At 35.2% G+C, this 18,497-nt stretch overlaps 1 protein-coding gene across 6 annotated transcripts in view, besides 1 other annotated feature; it reads left to right on the top strand.

The window, feature by feature from the left end:
* The first annotated feature begins 4,663 nt into the window (after window positions 1-4,663).
* Window positions 4,664-18,497, top strand: part of STPG2 (sperm tail PG-rich repeat containing 2) — a 702,228-nt gene continuing 688,394 nt past the window's right edge. For 3 of the 6 annotated variants that reach the window (XM_017008049.3, XM_011531886.4, XM_047450120.1), the window contains exons 1-3: window positions 4,664-5,098; window positions 13,681-13,793; window positions 15,537-15,695. In XM_017008049.3, the coding sequence (XP_016863538.1) occupies window positions 4,990-5,098; window positions 13,681-13,793; window positions 15,537-15,695 (381 nt within the window). In that variant the 5' untranslated portion in view covers window positions 4,664-4,989. The remainder of the gene's footprint in view (window positions 5,099-13,680; window positions 13,794-15,536; window positions 15,696-18,497) is intronic. The other 3 variants (XM_047450118.1, NM_174952.3, XM_047450119.1) reach the window with 1 other exon arrangement.
* Window positions 4,838-4,937: an enhancer, noted in NCBI's record as "active region_21732". NCBI's record gives its function as "activates an Ori minimal core promoter by ATAC-STARR-seq in GM12878 lymphoblastoid cells {active_cell/tissue: GM12878}" and the evidence as "EXISTENCE:reporter gene assay evidence [ECO:0000049][PMID:35858748]".

The following is an 18,497-nucleotide window of genomic DNA, read 5'->3' as shown; positions in this document are numbered from 1 at the left end:
CACATTGATTTGATTATAATGGCTTTATAGCCACTGTATCTTCTGATTCATGGAAATCAGAGTTATTCTTCACTATTCTTTTTTTCATACTCTCTATTCCCCCACATTATTATATCAAAAAATCAGAGGGATTCTAATTGGAATTATATATTAGTTTTGGGAGAACTGATATTTTAATATTGTTTTCCTATTTAACTTTGATATCTTTCCATTTGTTCCTATCTTCTTTGTTTAGATTCTATGCCTTTCCTTTGCATAATTCTGTCATTATTTTTGTCTTTATTGAAAATGAGATTTTTTTCCAATTTCCTTTTTAGGTAATTGTTAGGATAGATAAAAACTACTGTTTTTTATATATTTAACTTTAATATGGTCACTGCACTTAATTCTTTTATAATCTTAGGGTAATTTATTACATTTTCCTGTACTGTTTTGGCATCCAATTACATCATAGGCAAAAAGAGATATTTTTATATCTTTCTTTCCAACTAATACCAGTTATTTTACTTAATTTTGTTGTATTCAATGGACACACCACTATTTTAGTATATGTACTGTCGAAGCAAGCATGATACACCATTACTAGATAATAGTAATAATGATAGAGGCATTTCTATTTATTTTTTATTTTAATTGAAATAGTTTTAGTATTTGCTGGTTGGGATAATACTTTATTGATTTTAATTTTTAAGGTATTTTTTATTATATTAAAATAGTATTCCTCAAATTCCATTAAATGTAGAATTATCATTACAAATAGCTCTTTAATTTTATCAAATGCTTTTCCTTTTTTTTTTTTTCACTTTGGGAGGCCTAGGTAGGAGGATCACTCAACTGTCCTTTCTTCATCTATTGATATGAACATATATTATTTTCTTTGATAATTTATTAATGTAGAAGATTATGTAGTGGTTTTCTAAAACTGAATTATCCAGGCAATTAGAGAATTTACTTATTTGGTCTTAATATATTATCATACAAAAGCATTGCTAGATTCTGGTTGCTAATGTTTCATTTTATTTGTTAGATACACATTTATGGTAGAGATTGATTGTATTATTCTTTTTTGGTGGATTCTTGAACATGTTTTAGTATTAAAGTTATATACATTCATGAATAAAATGGAAGGAATTCTTTACAATATGGAATATTTTAAATAACATTGGAATTATCTCTTTTTTAAGTTATGTAAGACTTAGTTGTAATTTTCATCTGGTATTCATGCCTGTTTTTTAGGTAAAATTTTATTTCAGAAAAGTTTTAGATTTTTAGAAAAATTATAAAGTACAGAGAGAAACTCAATCTATAACCCATAGAGAGTTTCTGCTATTTGCTCCTATAGCAGGCAGGAGTTTGAGATTACAGTGAACTATAATGGTACCATGGTATTCCAGCCTGAAAGACAAAGCAAGACCCTGTCTTCAAAAAAAATTTTTTTTTGTGTATGTGTAGATGGAATTAGCAAATAGGAAGAAACAATGAAACAATATTAATACATTATTAACTAAACTCCATACTTTATTTGGATTTCTTTAGTTTTTACCCAATATGCTTTTTCTCTTCTTCACTGCAGCCAACATATTCAGTATTGAATCAGTTTAATTTCTTGGACCTTATTCTTGTTCAAGCTTCATTTTGAAGTTTATTCTGGTATAAGCCAGCAGGGAGAAATGGAAAGAACCTAAATTTTGAACTCCAATAAATCTTAGCTCAAACAAAAATTCCATCTATGGAATTACTAATACAGTAAAATGTTTACATAGTGTGGTTAATTAGCATTAAAACTTTTGGAGGAATTGAGAAATGCTGAACCAAATTATTTCATATTTATATGTAATTATAATTCTGTGTTAACATATTTTTTTTAGTATACTAATTCCAGACTATTGAAGAAATATTTACAATGAGAGATAATGAAAAAGATTTATTTTTCTCATTAAAAAATATTTTCCAATCTTGAAATACTGTGTACCATTCTCATTACTGAACCATAAGGAGGAAATAATAGCTGGGAAATATAGAGAGTAGCCACAGTCATCAAGGAAATAGAAATTTTCATACTATTTGAATTGTTTGAAAAGGAAATTCAAACAATTTTCTTTTTTTTTTTAATTATACTTTAAGTTCTAGGGTACATGTGCACAACGTGCAGGTTTGTTACATATGTATACATGTGCCATATTGGTGTGCTGCACCCATTAACTCGTCATTTACTTTAGGTATATCTCCTAATGCTATCCCTCCCCCCTTCCCCCACCCCACGACAGGCCCCGGTGTGTGATGTTCCCCCTCCTGTGTCCAAGTGTTCTCATAAACAATTTTCTTTTAAGACAGGGTCTTGCTTTGTCTTCCAGGCTGGAGTGCGGTGGTACCATCATAGCTTGCTGTAATCTCAAATTCCTACTTGGCTAATTTTTAATTAAAAAAAAATTTTTGTGTGTGTGCAGGTGGAATCTCCCTATGTTGCCCAGGCTGGTCTTGAACTTCTGGCCTCAAGCAATCCTCCTGCCTGGGCCCCCCAAAGTGCTAGGATTAAGGATTACAGGTGTGAACCACTGCACCTGGCCTCATAGAAACTTTTAAAAGAAAGATTTTTTTTTGTTAAGAATGCAGAATTTTGAGAGACCAATTACCAAATTATGAAGAGTATATAGGTTGCACTTCAGTGTGTAATATTTAGGTAGGATCTGGCCAGAAGACCCACAAACACTGGGGTCCTGCCATTGATCAGCTACCCATCTCTGTGAAGTCCTTGAGGAAAAAGCATTCACTCAGGAGGCAGGCAAGGTAAATAAACAGTGTTTTCCTAGCTGGTACTCAGAAACTCTCCCATAGAGGTCTGCAAATGAGCTAGGAAGGGTGCTATGAAGAACTCCCTTTGTCTAAATTAGGTTACATTCAATGGCTGAAAATCAAATCAGACAGAAAGCATATAAAGCCAGCTTTACCATTTCCATTTCCAATCTCCAAAAATATGTATATTCAAGCAAAGAGTAATGTAGACTACTGCAGACAGAATGGCCAGACAGGGCTTGAAATTCTGCATCAATGCTTACGGCAACCATGGCCTAGACCTGAGTATGCAGTTTGGGTTGATATCCTTGTTTGGATCATCAAGGTCAAATGATGTCCTTAAGGACATAGCGGGCAAATTTACAAGCACCACTGGATTATCATACACAGCACATGAATTTTTCTCTTTCATCTCTGTGACTCTTTCTAATATGTCATAGTAAATATCTAGATCTTCTGAATGGGTATAGGTGGCAGCTTGGAAAATAAGGTTAAAACAACATTGAGAGAATTATGAGGGTTTCTGACAGAATGCAGGGAGAATCGAAGTTGGTGAGATGTTTCCAAAATATTGCAATATTCATTTTCCTACCATTAAAAAAAATCTTTGCCACCTCTCGTTTTGGATTATACGTCTCTTTCCCCATTAGAGAGAGAACACCTGAGGGCAGGGACTTTCTTATGCCTTTGTATCCTCATAACTTAGCAGGGATGGAACCTACAGTATATGCCAATTCGTGTTTTTTAAGTGCATAAATAATTTAGCTAGCTATTGAACAGAAAAAAAGGTACTACAGATACATCCTTGAGAAGCATATAGCCTCGCAAGGAGAGGGTTCCGACCTATATGGCACAATGAAGCCACAGTAAATGTTGCACAGGATTGAGTGGCAAATCGTGTATTACAGAGTATGAAAACTATAAAAACTTGTAGTAGGAACAAATTAACGTACTGTAGACCATTTGGAGGTGAGGTATGATCAAGGTAGGATTTGTCTAAGCCTCTGAGGATATTTATAATCTGGACAGAATTCTTGCTAGAAAAAACAGCCTGCGAGATGCAGAGGTGGATTCTGACATAGATTCCTTAAGCCCCAAGGACAAGCAAGGTTTCTTTTGCCCAAGGTTCAGAATCATTGGTTTGGTGGGGTGGACTGGGCTTTTTCAGTGCCTTCGCTTTGCTTTTTAAATATTGATGAATCAGTATTGTGGTTACCTGGCATACGACAAAAGAGGCAGCTTTCAGTCACTTCCACGGCTTCAGTTGGTGAGCTTTTCGCCTCCTTGCCTGGTGTCCTCATTTCTTTTTTTTTTTTTTTCTTTTTTACCCTTATCTTATTTGTTATTTTTTTTTCTGGGTTCTCCATTTCTTGTCACTGCCCTGAGCCCTGGGTTTGTCTTAGCAGTTTGGACTATCTACAGGTTAAGATCAGAGGTGCCTTTTCTCTGTGAGTACGAGTGGGGCTGCAGTAGAAGCGGGGGAGAGCTTGCGGAACCCCAAGCTCTCTGCTTCATGCTACTGCATTTTTCTTTACTAGGTTCTGTTGAGTCGGGAAGCAGATCAAGGTCAAGTTAGTCCTCACCCTTCCTAACGCGTTTTCTAAGGTTCTTCTGCATACTTAAAAAAGTTCGGGACCTAAGTAGTTACCGGGACCCCAAGAGCTACGAGGTTTAGGCCTGCCTTCTTCAAGGCGCGCCGGGTTCCGGGTAAAAAGAGCCGGGAAAGGGTGGCTGCTCGGTGCGCATGCTCCGAGGGCTCGGCCCAGGAAGGCACCTCCACTTCGCTCCCTAGAGACTGGGCCCGCCTCCTCCCCAGAGACTGGGCCCGCCTCCTCCCCAGGCTTCCGGGCGGAGAGAAGTGGGCGGAGTCAGGGCCGGAAGCACCGGGGCGAGCGTCTAATCCCTAATACCCAATTTTGGTGGCGTGCACCTGGCAAACTGATGATTGTGTGGGACGTCTAATCTCTAGTCGCTCACCCCTCTACTTTACCACAGAGCTAGAAATCGATTTGAGGAAATCTGGTATCAATGAGCGGGCGGGGAGACAACCCCACCCCTAATTTCCCTGTTTACGGAAGTTCTTTCCCGGCCTCCTCAGACTGGTGTCGGCTTCCTTTTTCTCCACACTTCTAGCTACCTTGTTTTTATCGTTTTCGGCACCTGCCCTTCCCCAGCGCCCCCACCACCCCGAGCACTATGTATGATCGGGCTCCCCGCCTGCTCAAATTGGCTGAAGGTGGCAGCACTGAGGCCCATGTGGGTCCTGGATCCTACCAGGTACCTTTCCTGAAGCAGCAGGCGACAGGTAAGATGTAGGAAGAGGCAGAGCTCCTGTGACAGGCATCCTATCTTCAGCCTGCTCCGCTTCTGCGTGCTTGTGAGTTAAACATAGAGCGGAATAGTACCATTTTGTAAACATAACAAAACATGAAGTAGGCAGGGAAAACACTATACTTTTATTTTACAGATGAGACTGATAGTATCACTTGTCCCATTTCAAAAGGCTGGTGAGCATATGGCTAGGACTTTTGATTCCGCAATAGTTGTCTACATCCTACTTTTGATTGTGCAGTTTAGGTCTAGGATTTTGATTTCCTGGCTGTGTTGACATAATATATGAGTCTCCAAATCCTGTGCCCTTACCTCCCGCTGTCTCGTTGCTTTGTAATCCTGCCTGCCTCACATCTTTCCTCCCATTAACCAGAGACATTTATTTATTAAGATGTAGCTTATATTTCTATTTTGCAGTATTATTTAAAGATAGTTCCGTTTTTTTTTCAGACAGATTTTTCTGACCGTCCTCATCTCTTTTAACACACTTCAGGGGAGCCCCTTTTCTCCACATTCTGTAAAGAAAAATTATATTTTTGACCAGTGGAGTGGGGATGGATAATTTAAATAATATTTGCTCTCCTCGTTTGTTTGCAGTTAGTGACTTAGTCAAAAATAAATACATCAATTTTGCTTTCTACTTTTTCTATTCTGGTGATTTTCTGGAGCTTAATACCGTCCAAATGATAGTTTTTCTTAACCTACATTTTCCCCATACCTACACTATGTATTTTCAAGCAAATGCCAGGATCCATTATTCTGTTACATAACTGATCAGATAAGGGAAGGTTTAGGTTTCTTGGGGTGGAGTACAAATTTGACTTCTGTCAGTGTTTCACATGTTGAATTGTACTGCTTCACAGTATCTGGTATCACTATTCTTGCAGCTTATTCTATCTTTATTTTAATGGAGTTGGGCATTATAAGCATTAATTCCCCTAACAATGGCTAACAATGACCCCCTGTGACACTTTGCAATCCTTAATTTTGACATAACTGACCACTTTATTCTTGGAAACACTTCTTTCCAAAATGTAACATCATTTCCTCCTGTTTTTTTTTTTTTTTTTTTTCCCAACTACTGTCTTGGAAGAGTGTCTGGGAACATGATTGGGACCTAATAAACATTTGTTAAATGCCGAATCAGGGCATCATCTTCTCCCCCTCTCCAAGCAGTCCTTCATGGCCTTCTTTAAATGTTTTTATGTTTCTTGTTGATGAAAAGAGTCAAACTCTGTAAAATATTTTAAGAGATTTATTCCGAGCCAAATATGAGTGACCATGGCCTGTGACACAGCCCTCAGGAGGTCCTGAGAACATGTGCCCAAGGTGGTTGGGGTACAGCTTGGCTTTATGTATTTCAGGGAGGCATGAGTTATTAATCAAGTACACTTAATAAATACATTGGCTTTGTTCAGAAAGGCGGGACAACTCAAAGTGGGGGCTTCCAGGCTATAGGTAAATTTAAACATTTTCTGGTTGACAATTGGTTGAGTCTATCTGAAGACTGGCATCAAAAGAAATGTTCAGGTTAAGATACAGGATTGTGGAGACCAAGTTTTGTTGTGCAGAGGAAACTCTCAGATAGCAGACTTCAGAGAGAGGGAGCAGGTTGTAAAATGCTTCTTATCAGACCTAAAAGAGTGCCTGGCTCTTAGTTGATTATCTCCTGCATCTGGAAAGGAAGGAAAACGAAGGGGAAAGGGTATTCTCTATAGAGTGTTGATTTTTCCCACAAGAGACTTTGCAGGGCAATTTCAAGGTATGGCAAGGAAATATATTTTTAGGTAAAACATTTTGATTTTTTTTCCTTGTCTCATAATGTTATGCCAGAGTCAGATTGGAAAGTAAGCCACTATATATAGGATTAAATAAAATCCATCTGATAAGAATGTATAGTTTGTAGGGCGTGACTCCCTAGACCCCTTAGATAGGAATTTGGGCAAAATAAAAAAAATCAGAGCTTAGTCCTCATTTGACACATCTTTAAATGTTTATGTACTGTACTTCCAATCCTTTGCTTGTTACTTTTCTCGTGTGTACTTTCTCATTTGCTATCCATATTCTGATTCTGATGACTCCCAGAAGGAAATCTTAAGAGATACAGGTGATTTATGTCTCTAAGGTGAGCTTTCTCCTAATCTTTCGGCTTTCAACACTGCCAATCACTTTTGTTTGTTTTTCTCTTCTTTTTAATTCTTTTTTTGTTGCTGTTGATGTCCTTGAGTCATAACCAGTTACTTTTTTGAACATCTCTACCTAGATGGTCTCCGGTATCTGAAGTTTTAAGTGTCTGAGCTCATAATTTTTTCCAGCAATACTGGTCCCTTTTAAAATTTTTTTCCAGCAATACTGGTCCCTTTTTAAAAATTCCCTATTAGTCTATAATAAACTTTAAGTTTTGGAATTATTCTAGACTCTTTTCTCCCTGACTACTCCTGTTGATCATTAACACCTAATGATTCTATCTTCTCAGTGCCTGTTTGATTAGTTCCTCTTTTCCATTTAGCTGTCCTTGACTTAGTTCAAGCTCTCATTATTTCTATTTTGAATTAAACATATAAAATATTACTTGTTTTTCCTTATTTCAGTCTTCAATCCATCTTCTATCTTGTGGCAAGAGTGATCTTTCTAAGATATATTACATTATTTGTGAAAAAAAAATCCTTTGTAATATCAAGGTTAACATCTAAACTCCTTAATGTTGTTTATAATGTTCTTCATGTTCTGGGCCCTGACCTCATCTCCCACACCTCCACCTCCACCTGACCTACATTTCAGCAATTTCAACTTTACAGTTTTCCTAAGTTCATGCTCACTCACCTCTGTGCCTCTGTATCTGCTGATACATTTGTCCAGTACACTGTTTTCTTTCTTCACTTGGCTAATTTGTATTTATTCTTTGAGATTCAGCTAAAGTGAAGTTGTTCACTGACTACTCTTTCTCAGGTTTTTCTTCTCTGACTCCTTAATGACCTTTATAGCACTTTGATTCTATATTGTAATTAATGTTAACTTATCTGGCAGACCCACTAAAATGTGAGCTGCTTGAGGGCAATAACCACGATCTTTACTCCATTATTCCTAGTTTTTAGGTGAATACCATAACACATAAGTTCAAAAACAAACAGTAATCTTGAAATAAAATTAAAATATAATGAGCCACATATAGCGTAATTTAAAACTCTTGTAACTTGTAACTTTGCTTAGAGAGAAGTAAGGAGCGTGTGGTAAAACCCTTTTACTGTTTTATAGGATAGTGTCTTGTTGATCTATGAGATAAAGTAGGAAATTCCATGCTGGGGAAATTTGAGCAGCTGCATCCTATACATTTTGTTTTAGCAATACTAAGAATATGCTGATAATCAATAGAAGGAACAGGTATCTCTTTAGTGATTTCTCTGCTGGATTCTCTGAAAGATAATTTAAAAGTAGCTACCATCTCTTTCCTAGGTACAAACTACCTCACCTACCTTTAGGACCAGTAACACGTTGGACTATGCAGAAGTGTACAATTATTTCAGCTAAGGGTCAGGTTCATTTTATGGAGTATGATGTGAGAAGAACAGATGTAGGGACTTTATATAACTTACTTGTTATTTTGAATTTCACAAGAGGAAAAGACCTTAGAGCCTTAGATACAGATACTCTTTATTTCCAACCGTTCTCTCCTAACTGCTGTTCTCCCACTGTCCCCTCACTGTAGCCTGCTTGGCCAGGCCAGTCCTTCAGGGTATTGTCTCTACATTTTCCCCAGGAAATTCTTTTTACCTTAATTGAAACTCGATTTCCGTGGCTGTAGGCCATTTGATCAGGGAGAATCTCTCCTACCCAGGAATTTCAACCTGAAGGGACAGGACTAAGCTGCTTTTCTTTCTGCTTTCATGAGGTAGGAGAGAGTGGATACTCAAATTCGAGATTAGTGAGAGCTATGCCTGAATTTCTTAAGATTACCTGAGAAGCAAACATCTCTTATTAAAGTAAATATTCCCCAGAGACAACCAGCCTAGTATAATGTGATAAAAACATACTCCTTTTACTAATGTGACTACTCCTGGCATTATCGTGCCAAGGAGTATTTCATTGCTTTTTGGCTTATTTATGTAATAAATATCAGCTGTATATCAGTTATATCTATTGGTTCTCTATTAGTTAGCTAAGCTGGGTGACATCATCTCCTAAAAATATTCTTTCCCAGATTTCTTTTTTGGTGGGGGAGTGGTTAGCTTTATCTGCCACAGAAGGATAAGCTGGCTATGGTCTCATACCTGTGCCTATGTGCTTATGCCAACAATGATAATTTTTTCTTATTTGCCTATCAGAATATAGCTGCATCAGGGAATGCAATCTATCTTTTTTAAAGTTTAGATAATAATATGTATGTGATTGCTGTATATGTTGTTGTCCTGAAGATGAGTACATATTTCAAAGATCTAATTACTGCTTATATGTGAAAAATGCCGTTTTCTTTGTTTTGTGGCTGTAGTTGTGACTATAGAATTGGTCCTTTAATCACATACTGCCCACCTTCTTTCTCAGCGTAGACTGACTTTTATTGCTTCATACCAGTTTGATTTATCTTCCTCTGTTGGTGCCTCAAACTCAATATATCCCAAACTGAACTCATTTCTTTCTTCTCAAATCTCCTCTTCTATACACTTAATTTCTTCTTTCTGTCAGTTTGATTTATAATTTGTAGTTAGCACTTCACTTGTCAATATATCCATATGTCCCATATCAAACTCTACCATCTCTAATTCCCCAGAACACTCTTCTATATTTTATACTTTAATTATTGGCAGTGATTTTTGTAGCATAATTGTCTATTTGTCAGGCTTACCCACTACTTGAGGGCAGAGTTTTATCTTATTCATTATTGTACTCTCACTGCCTATCATACATGCATGTCTCCCATACATAATAAAACATTCACTATTACAGAATGGATGACTAGTTTAGAATATCATTTGTTAATTGGTCACCCTCACTGTAAACATTAGGCACACAGCTATGAATAAATAAACAGGTAAGTTCCTTCTCTCATGGAGTGTATCATTATAAACATTTAAATTTTTTGTAGTTTTACTTGTGCTCAATATTTCTCGTATACTTTTATTGACAAAAGATTCTATATAATTAATTTTGGAAAACTTCAATGAAGATTTTATGAGTACCAGCTTTCTTGATTCTCTTTATTGCCCAATTATTTCATATATATGTATACTCTACCATTAATAATATTAATAATATGTTGAGTACATGGCTAGTGTATTTTTTTTAACTTTTATATGAATTTCAGTACTCTGCAACTAATTTTACATTTGTTTAAGGTAGATTCATTTAGGGGCCCTGCTGTGTTCTGATGCCAACTACCTCAGAAGTAGCCTGGGTTTCACTTTCTTAGTTTTCATATTTATCTCAGATTACCTTAGTGTTCATATGAACCTAAACTTAAAACCCTTTTATTGTGAGATAGAATACTTACATAGAAAATCACATAAAATATAAATGTAGACCTTAAAAAGAAGATATTCAGTTAAAAAATAGATCTGCCATCAGTGGGAAGAGGAAAACAAAAACAAAAAGCAAAAGAAAACAGAAATAGAACATTGCCAAAATTTTCTTTTTGGCCTTTTTTATTTCAATGTTTTCTTTCTGCCCTACAGTTAAACACTATCCTGATTATTATGGTAATAACTTCCTTGCTTTTCTTTATGAATTGTTAAATACTGTTGATGAAATGACCCCTTTATCATTATGAAGTATATCTTTTATCCCTGTTATTCCTTGTTCTAAAGCCAGCTTTGTCTGATTTTAATATAGGCACTCCAGCTTTTTGGATTCATGGATGCATGTTATAACTTTTTCCATCCTTTTAATTTCTGTTTTTATGTCTTAAGAGAGTTTCTTATAGACAGCATAAAGTTTGGTCTTACTTTTTTATTCAATCTGACAATCTCCGCCTTTTAACTGAGGTGTTTAGAACTTTTATAGTTAATTTCACTATCAGTATCTTCGGGTTTTAATATGCTCTTTTGCTATTTGCTTTCCATTTATCTCATCTGTTCTTTTTCCTTTTTCCCTACTTTTGTTGCAGGAATAAAGGTTTTTAAAAAATAATTCTTTTTTTATGTCCACTATTGGCTTATTTGCTATACCTCTCTTGTTTTATTTTTAAGTGGTTGCCTAGGGTTTACAATATGTATTTCTAATTTATTGCAGTCTACCTTCAAATAATATTGTACCACTTCATATATAGTAAATAAGCCTCACAAAGTATGCTTCCATTTCTCCCAGCTCACCCTTTGTCCTATTGTGGTTGTACATTTTACTTCTACATCTGCTATAATGCCTCAATAAATTGAGACTATTTTTTGCTTTAAGCAATTGCAGACAGTCCTTTACTTATGATGATTCAACTTACATTTTTTTAAAATTTTGCACAATGGTGTGAAAGTAATATGCATTCAGTAGAAACCAAACTTCCAGTACCCACACAACCATTCTATTTTTCACTTTCAGTACAGTATTCAATAAATTACATAAGATATTCAACATTTTATTATAAAATAGTCTTTGTGTTAGGTAATTTTCCCCAACGTTAGGCTAATGTAAGTGTTCTGAGCATGTTAAGCTAAACTAATCTATGCTATTATAGGTTACGTATATTACATGCAGTTTCAATTTACTATATTTTCAAATTACAATGGTTTTATTGGGAAGTAACTCCATCACAGGTCAAGGAGCACCTTATTTTTTAAAGGGATTAAGAATTGAGAAAAAATGTATTTTATTAATCCACAAACATTTGTTATTAATTTCATCTAGTGTATTTTTTGTTTTATAAGTTTGATTTGGGTCTTTTTTATATCTTCCCTTTATCTTCTCATCATGTTCATCTTTTTTCTACCTTGTTGAATATATAAAGGATATTTATAATAGATTATATATAGTATTCTTGTCTGCTAATTCCACCTTTTCATTTCTCAATCTGTTTCTTTTCATTGACTTTTCTCCTCTTTATGGGTCATATTTTCCTGAGTCTTGAAAGTACACTCTCTGGTAATTTGTATGATTCATTTTATATGTAGTTTGAGTGTGTATGTGTGTGTATTTATATATGTATTTGGAATGAAATCTGGTTCTTGTTCTCTGGCTATTTACCCTGAGTAAGTAGAATGTTTCATTGGTGTCCTGAATTTCTCAGCTCTACCAGACAACTGTTGCCTTTTCAAAATGAACCTTGGCTTACTTTTAAGGATTTCTGGTCTTGTGGTCTTTGTAACTTATTTGAAGGTCAGTCTGCCTTCTTTCCTCCCTTTCCCTTCCTTTTACCTTTCCCTCTCCTCTTCCCTTCTTCTCTGATTTGGGATAACCAGCTAAAACCATCAGTCACTAAATTAACACCTTGAATTTTAACATCATCCATGAAGTTTTTCCTGATCATCTCAATGTGGATGAGAACTTCTCTTCTTTCTGAATTTGCATGTGTCTTCCATTATGGCATTAGAGATGTTTTTCCTTTTTTAAAATTATTTCAATACTTTTCTCAATGCTTCAAGATATTACTTTTTTAGAGGTAAGATCTATATTTTGCTCACCTCTTTTATGTTGCAATACCTAACACAAATAAATAATTCTTGACATTGGTTGCATTTTAATACATGTGGGCCTCAAAAGAAACACATTATTTTATTTTAAATAGAGTATCTTTTATTATTAGTCCAGATTAGCAAGATTTTTTACTATATTGATTATCACCATACATTCTTACAGTAGCACACATTTTCCTTTAGTATACAAGATTTAGTGCAAAAGTTTTGAGTCTTCACTTGCATTCTTTTATTACCTGTTTGAATATAGCTGCTGCTCTATTCTCTCCCATCTCTTCTTTGATATCCACATTGCTTAAACACTAATAATTTTTCCAATACAGATCTTGAATTTTTTAGTACCAGTTTTTCAGTAGAGTGTTCAAGTTTGTATAATCTTATAATTACTTGTTCCAAAGAAATTTGTGTCTTGTATTTGTAAACCTTTGTTTAGGGTCAGCCAATCAAGAAATATTTACTGATACAAACTATGTGCCTAGGCAAGGAGACATGACCAATTATCTGCTGTAAACCCACTTTAAATTATTTCCATCTAGGGTGTCTTTACAAGTTTATATATGATGTTTTCTGCAAATAATATATGCTATTTAAAAATATAAAACAATGGTCTTCTGAGGATGAAAATGTTTTATCAGCTAAATATAATTGCCATTTTCATCCCCACCAAAAGTGATTAGAAGATAAGAGTGCTTTATTTTCTTTAGTTTTTTTTTTGTTGTTGTTCAATAAGTCAAGTTCTTTAGGTTCTTATATTTAATATATTAATAAAAATTCTGATCTTATATCAGATTTTAAAAAATGTAATAACTTCTCTGACTAGACAGTTCTGAAAATAAAGTCTTAACAATTGAGGATACTCATGATTATATATATTTTGAGCGTTTTTCTCTGAAATCCTTGGACTCTTATCTTATCTGCTGGTCATATGATTTTATTTTTATAGGTAGTAATGCACCATTTCTTTCTTTGACTGCCAGAGAAAGTACTTTTACCATTGCCTCTAGCATTGAGAAAGCTGTTCCAGGTCCAGGACACTATAATGTTTCAGAAGCACAGGTAACTTTATAGTTACTATAATTGACTTAATAAAACCATGTTTTCTTCCCTGAATAGACCAAATGTCATTTGTTGTATTTTATTTTCTGCTTATATTGTCTTCTTTCACTTTCAATTTATATTTTATAATTTGAATAATAGAAAATAAATTTATTCAATGTTGGTTGCATGATTGGGTTGGATGTTTTTCATTATTCTACATATTCTATAAGACACAAAACATTGTTACATGCTATATGGTCCTTGAGAATGAGAGAATAGGACTCTTGAATGAATTATGGCCCATGGAAGTTGTGCAGATAGTAAAAATGCGTAGAAGAGGAATGGCATTAGAGTGAAAGAATTGGTTTTTGTGCCATGCTTTAAAGCTATAGCCATTGCCATTGTCTCATCTGTCTCCTGTTTCTGCACAGTCTCAAGAATCTGTGACCAGATTATCTTCAATGGTTCATTCATGTTTAGAAATAGTAGATATAACTCTGATATCTTCATAGTCATGAGTATCACCTTTTGCCATTTTCACATAAATTTTGCATTTATATGTATTGGCTCCTAGCTGATCCCAGCAGACCTTTAACTCACCTGTTGGAGGCTCAGATAAAGTCCTTGTTGAAGTGATCGATATAGATGCAGGTTGCAGTTTGATTTGTATGATCATAGAGCCTATGGTAATGGCTTTTAAATTATCAAAATTTGGAAAGTTCTCTTTTCACAGGATTTTACTTTTTGTTCAACTTGTTAGTGTTTTTGTAAAATAAATCATTAAAGTTATTTTTATACATCTATTCTTTAAACATAGAAATTCTGATCTTTTTAAAATAGTAATCAAGTAGTGAATTGCCTATTTAAAAATAAAATTTGACTCAGTTTTTAAAAGAAGGCCTCCTTGGTATATTTCTTAAAAGCTGAGTGAAGTTGAATAAGGTACCCGCTAGAGATAGGCTCTGTGAACGGTGACTGTGAACAACTGGACATGTGAAAAGGGCTATTTGTAGATCAATGACTTAAAATCTTAGCTGATCAATCAAATGCCAGCCACTGTTATCATAAATCATCTTTTTGAAATGATTGCACTGTAATTGTTTACAGGAATCTTTATGATGTAATTTCACCCAAATTAATTGGATATTAGTCAATTGATAATTTTCAGATTCTGGAGAATCCAGATAGGTAGCATGGAGAGCCCTGGAAGATTCCACTCAAATGTTTGCTCTGTAATAAACAATGTTTAAAATTAATCTGAACATAAAACCAAGCTGTTGCTAATAAGTCTTTATAATTTTTTCTGGAAATGACCAAAATGTTATTCATGAAAATAATTAACACTAAACAACCTTGAAAGGTTTGCTTTTTCCCTGCAATATGAATGCCAACTTTTTTTTTTTTTTTTTTTTTTTTAGTTCATTTCAGGGGTAAAAATTTTTCTAAGGGCCTTTATTCTTGCTCTACAGCTTTACGAATTCCCATCTCTGATTTCTGTTTTAAAAACAGTTTTCTTGCACTCTCTCAAAGTGCTCCAAGTACAGCAAATTTTAGTTTTGAGTTTCAAGTTAAAACTGACAACTATAATTGCTATCTTCTCTTACTATCCCCTTTTACTAGAACTATATCCTCAGTCAATAGTAAACTTTCTTAGCTTGCATTTTAAAAATATTTTCTGATAATGATTAATATTTATCAAGTAGAAATTAATTGTAAAGTGCTTCTTTTATATATCAGAAGGTTTTTTTCCCTCCATTTTAGTGTAACATAAAAGGAGGCCATAGTCTACAAAACCGGGAGAAACGTTTTAAGAAGTTTATTTCAGATAATCCAGGACCAGCAAGCTATGATCAGTTTTATCCTAGAACACAAGATATCATGAACAGAAAAGTATTAGAGACCAGAGAGCATCTTCAGTCAGTACGTTTATATTTTAAATTATACTTGTTAATGACATTTTTTAGTTAAAATAGTAAAGGTTTAATATTTTATGTGATATGAAGTACATTTAAAAAGCCTTCCTATAAAAATTTATTAGTGTTTACATTTTAGTTATTTTATAAGTAAATAAACTTTAGTTTTTAACTGTATTCATATCTAACTTCATTTTTTGCTCCTAGCAAATCTATAGTCACTTTCAACATCTGTGGTGAATAAAAAGTAAGGGAAATTTTACAAACTACCTGAGTGGTTTACCTATGTATAGAGGAAACTCTGTGTTAGTACTGTTAATAATATATTTCCTTCCTGGTGGCAAGGAAGGAAAAAATATAAATAATATAAGTTAAAAATATGATTCCTGAAGTAAAAAAGCTTAAAATTTATATGGGAGGTAGACAAATAGGTAGCTGCTAATTCAAGACAAAATGTGACAGTTGCTAAATGAATGATCATGTAATGAAATGCCATAGGAATTTAAAGGTGGACTACTATATTATGTGAAGGCATAATTTATGGAAGATTTATAGAGGAGGTGGGTTTTGACATGGCATTGAAGAATAGAGTTGGAATCTGGATCCCAAACTGGAGTATTACATGAGTGAAGATACAGAAGTGGGATTTTTATGGAAGGTAGTGAGAAGGTTATTTTAATTGAAATGAAGAATTTGTGCAGAATACTAGTATGTGGTATGTTTAGAAAGGTACATTGGGTGCTATATAATTAATAATTTTTACATCAAAGGCTACCTCTTTGAAATAAATGCTATTATTGAGCAGATTTGGTCACTGTTTGTTTAGAGTGGTTCCTTCTCTTGTCATAACTTTTTCATGTAGCTCATATTACATTTTAATCAGCTTTTTGCTTAGGAAGATATGTTTTAAGGCTAAGTACTTTGTTGAATAATATCAGTGCAATGACAATGAGGTTAAATTTTGTAAGTATATTTAAATTGCAGATATTTCGTGTGTGGGGACAAAGTAAATGTTCATTTACTTAGGGAGTTTATCAAATATATTTTGAGTGACTGTGTGGCCATACATAATGCTAGATGTTGGTAATACATAGAAAAAATCATTGCTTCCTGAGATGTATAATTTTAACAGGAAAATAACGAATGAAATTCAGTATAATACTGTTAATGAAATGCTATCTTAGAGCCATAATACAGTGTTCACTAGTAGCTCAAAGTAGAGAGTCTTTGGAGGGAATGGGGGAAACAAATTGGACCTGATCTTGAAGAAGGATTCACCGAGTAGTTAAAAAGAATGGGAAAAAATAGTAGTTAAAAAGAATGGGAAAAAATATTTTTTCCCACTTTATGTGCAGAAAAAACCACATGAATAAAGACACTGAAGTGTTTGATAGTGTGATATATTCCAGGAAAGAACAAAGTTCTTTAGAATGGAGTACAGGAGCGAAGGGAGAGTTGTAGGAATAGAGACTGGAGGTAGGGGCTATATTTTGGAAAGTCGTTTTTTTTTTGTTTTTTTTTTTTTTTTTTGAGACGGAGTCTCGCTCTGTCTCCCAGGCTGGAGTGCAGTGGCGTGATCTCGGCTCACTGCAAGCTCCACCTCCCGGGTTCACGCCATTCTCCTGCCACAGCTTCTTGAGTAGCTGGGACTACAGGCACCCGCCACCATGCCCGGCTAACTTTTTGTATTTTTAGTAGAGACGGGGTTTCACCGTGTTAGCCAGGATGGTCTCGATCTCCTGACCTTGTGATCCACCCGCCTCGGCCTCCCAAAGTGCTGGGATTACAGGTGTGAGCCACTGCGCCTGGCCTATTTTGGAAAGTTTTGACATCACACAAATTCTTTTTAAATATATGGAAAGGAGGGAAAGCCGTTCAATGGTTTCTTATTTTAATTTGGTAATTAATCCCATAGGTATTACTGAAACTACTTAATGGTTGTCTTTAATTTGATAAAAAATAAAATTCTGGCTGGGTGTGGTGGCTTATGCCTGTAATCCTAGCACTTTGGGAGGCCAGGGAAGTGGGGGCAGATCACTTGTGGCCAAGAGTTTGAGACTAGCCAGGCCAACATGGTGAAACCCTGTCTCTACTAAAAAACTACAAAAATTAGCTAGGCATGGTGGCACATGCCTGTAATCCCAGCTACTTGGGAGGCTGAGGCACGAGAATCACTTGAACCCGGGAGGCAGAGGTTGCAGTGAGCCAAGATCATGCCACTGTACTCCAGCCTGGGCAACACAGTGAGACTTTGTCCCCCGCCCTCCAAAAATTATATTAAAAAAGAAAAACGACTGGGCACGGTGGCTCGTGCCTGTGATCCCAGCAGTTTGGGAGGCTGAGGTGGGCGGATCACCTGACGTCAGGAGTTCAAGACCAGCTTGGCCAACATGGTGAAACCCCATCTCTACTAAAAATACAAAAAAATTAGCCAGGTGTGGTGGCATGTGCCTGTAATCCCAGCTACTTGGGAGACTGAGGCAGGAGAATCGCTTGAACCCAGGAGGCAGAGGTTGCAGTGAGCGGAGATCATGCCACTGCACTCCAGCCTGGGCAACAAGAGCAAAAACTCTGTCTCAGAAAAAAAGAAAAAGAAAATTCTGCCAGTGATAGTACGTTTATAACATAATTCTACATGGGCATGTGAACATGCAACTATAGCATTAATTTATTCATGCAGAAACTTCAGGAATCAATATATTCTTAATAATTTCAGTGTCCCAGTAACTAAATGCTTTAAATGCCAGTACTTTTATTTGATACATTTTATATTAATATTTGTAATATATATTACACCTTCATGTTTTTA

Source organism: Homo sapiens, chromosome 4, assembly GCF_000001405.40.
Source record: "Homo sapiens chromosome 4, GRCh38.p14 Primary Assembly".
NCBI lineage: Eukaryota > Metazoa > Chordata > Mammalia > Primates > Hominidae > Homo > Homo sapiens.
The sequence above is the reverse complement of the archived record's forward strand: the minus strand, read 5'-3'. Positions and strand labels throughout refer to the sequence as shown.